The 4914-nt window shown below is 45.9% G+C and overlaps 1 annotated feature.

Moving 5' to 3' along the window:
* Positions 331-831: an enhancer, noted in NCBI's record as "H3K4me1 hESC enhancer chr11:32008494-32008994 (GRCh37/hg19 assembly coordinates)". NCBI's record gives its function as "activates a minimal SCP1, AML or CMV promoter by ChIP-STARR-seq in naive H9 embryonic stem cells {active_cell/tissue: H9 hESC(naive)}" and the evidence as "EXISTENCE:reporter gene assay evidence [ECO:0000049][PMID:30033119]".

Raw genomic sequence — 4914 nt, 5'->3', positions numbered from 1 at the left:
GGTTTATCTGTCTCAGGGACCAGTTATCCGTGCTTTGGTTTGCCCCCGGAGGGCGGAGCCAAACAAACGGCAGCCTGGCTGGTAAAGAACTGACATTTCAAGCACACAGGTGAAGTGGCTAGACCCAGACTGGCCCCGAGGCGGCGGGAGGGCCTTACAGCGGACCCCTCTTCCCAGCGCCCCCAGCCCCGCGCCCGCCACCCCGGGGCTGGCGCTGTCCGCGGTGCCGCCGGGCGGCGGATCCGGACTCGGCGCGCGGGGCGCGGGCGGAGGGACTGGGCGCGCAGCTGCCGCCGTTTCTGCTTCGCAGAGCAGATGGCGTCGGCGGGGGGCGGCCATTTGACGTTCGTAGCACTTTCCTTCGCGCATATGTTGCGGGCGGGGACGACCTCTAGCCCGCTGTGGCGGCGGGTTTCCAGCCCTAGACGCGCGGTTCCCCCCGGATCCGGCTCAGAACCCTAGCTCGGGCCCACGTCGGTGGACGAGGGGAGCTGGCACCGTCCCATCGGGTAATGACGTGCGTATTTCCCATCCTCACCATTGGCCTACAAGAATGGCCTTAGTCCCATTTTACAGCTGGAAAACTGAGGTATAAGAAGGAGCTGACCAGCAGTGGGGCTGGGACTCGAACCCAGAGTCGGCTGACTTCTGCCTGAGCACCTGGCGCTACTTGGTGACCAGCGTGTCTCCAGCCTGAGGGTCCCATCAAAAGCAAGTGAACTTTCTCGATCTTGCTTGTCTGTGTCCCAAAAACGTTCTTCCTTCTGTAGGGCCTTTGCATATGATGTTCTTTGAACCATCTCCCCAATCCCCACAGCCCGTTTCCTCCAAGGTCTCCTTTAGATCTTAGATCAGGGTCATCTCCTCAGGAAGCCTCCCTGGAATGCACCATAGCCCCAAAGATGGCGAGGATCATTTGATTAATGTGAGTGATCCTCCCCCCAAACTGTAAGTTCCATGAGGGCAGGGAGTGGGTGTGCTTTTCTGTTCAGCATTCTATTCCCCGTGCATAATAAGCACTCGAGAAATAGTTGTGAATGAATGAGTAGTTAAATGAATGAATGAATGAATGAATGAATGAATGAACAGAGTTTTCTGAAGGAGCACCTGCTTCCTCACTATCCAATGATCAGCTGTTTGGGGGTGGAGGGAAGGCTGTTTGGGAATCCTGGGCCTTCTCAACCGCAACTTTTTATTCATTAAGCCTACGCTATGGCTGTTTCCAGGCTCCTCCACCCCCGCCATTGCCCTGTGACTGGAGGCCAAGCCCTGCCCTCCTGTTGACAGAGTGGAGTCTTCCTTATGCTGATGAATGAAGTGACCGTTAATAAGATGAAACCAGGCCAGAAAAAGCCAAATGAGGAAGCTGGCAGCTTTGTAAGTGGTTTTTCAGGGGGAAAAGTGAGAAAATGGACACTAAAATGGATCCTTTAAGTTGCTTTTCTGACCTGCTTAGCGGGAGAGCTGGAGATTCCAGGCCATTGGAGGGCTTCCCAGATGGAAAGAGTTCAGATGCAACAAATATTTACTGACGCCTACTAGGTGCCAAGGGCTCCTTGGGGCTCGATGACAAACAGCTCGGAGGATGCTTGGCACTCTCAAGCCTCATTTGAGCCTCCCCAAAACTCTGAGAACAGAGGTTCATTGCCTCTGTTCTTCAGAAAAGGGAACTGGCTCAGGGGGTCAAATGGCCTGCTGAAGATCACCCTGCCAAAATTTTATCGTGGAAGAGTTTTCATTGCTTTTTGAAAAATCCGAATGTGATATTTTTGTGATTAAAGAAAAAAGTATCTTAAATTTGTTGATACTTGACTTGCAGCTTGATCATGTGGCTGCTTTTACACCATCTCCCTGACTGGAAAAATTATCTCCTCTTTGAGAGGTCTCAGATTGACAGAGCTCGAGCTCCCTCATTTACTGAATCCAGTAACTCTTTCAGTTCAGTGACAAGACTAATAGCAATAAGTCCTTAATAAGACTAATAGCTATAGCTTATGAGTCCTCATTACTTATTGACTAAGTAGTAACACTAAATTAATGTTGAGTACTTTATATGCATGAGCTCATTTAAACCTCACAACCCCAATGAAACAGGCATAATTTCTGTCCCAATTTTGCAGATGAAGAAACTGAGAGTCCAAGAAGTTAAGTAACTTTGTCAGGATCAAGAGCTAGTGAGTAACAAAGCTAGGATTCAAACCCAGGTAGTTAACTGCTATACATTGCCATATTAATGGTTTTCAGGCTGTTCTCTGAGGGACCTCAGGGTTCTATTTACCCAGAAGTGGAGGAGCTGGAAGCACAGAGACATTTAGCTGGGCAAGCCTGAAAGCCTAGTCCACCCAACCAGGACAGCTCTGCTCTTATCTCCTAAAGTGAATCTGCTACATCTTGTCGGACGAAGAGTACCCAGTGCTAAAAAAAAAAACATTAAACATATTATAAGTTGAGAACAGACAACACTCTTGGTCCCACAGTTGGTTGCATGGCTGTGCTGCTAGCAGGGTAGTAGCACCTGGAGGCTGAGCCTTGTCTCTTCTATGCATCACCCCACAGTGCCCAGCCCTGTGTCTCAGTAAATGCCACCCCCATTGGATGAAACATATCAGAGTGTATTGCAGTGGCTGTTCCACTGTACTTTACTCTTCACATCTTCCGGAACTTCCAAGGGTACCTGCAGCCATGCAGAGAAGACCCTCCTGGATCCACCTCCAGCTGGTGGACATGGAGAGGAAGGACTCTGTGCAGGTCAAAAGAGAGACTTAGTGGGCTGTGCCTGGTGGCTCAACACCTGGGAGGCATAATCCCAGCACTTTGGGAGGCCAAGGCAGGCAGGTCACTTGACATCAGGAGTTCAAGAGCATCCTGGCCAACATGGTGAAACCCCATCTCTACTAAAACTCCAAAAATTAGCTGGGTGTGGTGGCAGGTACCTGTAATCCTAGCTACTCAGGAGACTGAGGCAGGAGAATCGCTAGAACCCAGGAGACAGAGGCTGCAGTGAGCAGAGATCATGCCACTGCACTCCAGCTTGGGCAATAGAATGAGACTCCATCTCACAAAAAAAAAAAAAAAAAAAAAAAAAAGAGGGAGAGATTTAGTGGAAGTGGCCTGAGGGCAGCACAGAAAACAGCTAGATGCTGTGGCTTCAATTTGTCCCCAGGGATTTTCTGGAGTTATGGGGGGTAGGAAGGGCAACAGCCTCAGGCTAGAGGAAATAGGAGCCTCGGGCTTTGAGGACAGGGAAGAGCACTGTGCTACCTGTTAAGAAGGTAGTGACTCTGCCTTTGGGTGATAGTGAAGATTGTGACACTCATGTACATATATCAGGCTGCTGGCTGCCCAGCCTAACTCCCTATCCATACCTCTGTCCGGCCATACCCACACATTTTTATGGTTAATGTCTTCACGGTAACTCTTGATGTTTATTATTTAATTCACATCCCATATGTGTTCTTCAATGTTAGACATGCAATAAAATCCAGCATTAGCAAAAACTAAAACAAAGTCTAAAAACCATCAGCAAAAACTAAAATCAAACAAAAGTATAAATTAAAATAAATACTAGAGTTAAAGAAGAGCGTTAGAATGCAGGTGTGCCGATGGTGACAGTGTAAACAGTTACCGGAGTTGAGCTTCAAAACTAACGTTTAGCTCCCTAGTAGCCAGAATGAAAACGGAAACACAACCCGTTATATGATTCGATTTTCTGTGAGGAGATGCTGAGTTGCTCAAGGGATGATGAGCTTTTCTCTGAACCTAGAATAAACAGAATTTTGTTATGCGGGGTTTCACCTACTAAGAAATGTAGATTGTAATGTCCCTTATAAAAGACCTACAGTAAGCTTAGTGCAGTTTTCGTCTATAAGTCAAGCTGGCACCTTAATGCACAAAATTGGACCTCACTGAAAACAGTGCTTCGAGGGGCCACATAGGTTCTGAGGGTTCCACTGAATGCAGAAATTTTGAACAGGTTTTATGGAGGAACAGATAGAACCACATGTCCCTCAAATAATGCTCCCTGAATAGTGCTTCTCTCAGCAGGGCTTTGGATAAGACTTGGACAGCAGGCAATTCAAGCTTGGAGTATGCTTACTGTGTTTTGCTGATTAAGTACAGAACTAGCTTCAATTTTCTATTTAATCTATGCCCAAATGTATCTATGCAGTGAATAGTCTTCAAATAAAAAGAGAAAGAGTAGTAAGTTTTATGAAGTGGACCTCAACAAAATACATGTTTTTGAATCTTTATAAATAAAATTTGCATTGATGTTCTATGTGTGCTTCTTCCATTGCTTCATTCCCAGATCATAGTCCAAACAAATTCTGCCAGACTGTAGACCTGGCCTTGATATTGCTGGTTCATTTAGCAGGTACACCATTCATCTTCAAGGAAGGAAGAAAATAAAGATGTCATCAATAATATTCCTACAGAGCCTCCAAGCCAACCAAGTTCTCCTAGTTTCAGAGGCAGTAATTTGTTCTCTGATATATGGGGATTGCTTTTTGTTGGTAGCTGAGAACCAATCAGTCTTCAGAGGTGGTTGTAATTAATAGGTAAGGAAGTGCAAATACATCTGAATTAATAGAGCCACTAGGTGTGACTAACTATAATATGATTACATGTGAAATTAACCCACAGATCAAACCTAATCAATCCAGACTAATAACTGCCAGGACAACAATTTATGGTTTTAGATGAGTTTACTTTGAGAGCAACTAAAGAAAATGAACTCGGTTAAAATGTAAAGTCTGGGTTTTTTTAAAGTGTGAGCAGCATACTAAGATTATAAATATGCATGTAGATGATATTAATGTCCAGATGTCAGACAACCAAACCACTATTTGTATTGGCAAGTGAGAGTCAACAAAATTAGAAAATTGGAAATTAGTAAAGAGAAACACACATTTAAAC

Source organism: Homo sapiens, chromosome 11 (genome assembly GCF_000001405.40).
Source record: "Homo sapiens chromosome 11, GRCh38.p14 Primary Assembly".
In the NCBI taxonomy this organism is placed as follows: Eukaryota; Metazoa; Chordata; class Mammalia; order Primates; family Hominidae; genus Homo; species Homo sapiens.
This window is presented reverse-complemented; position numbering and strand designations above follow the sequence as displayed.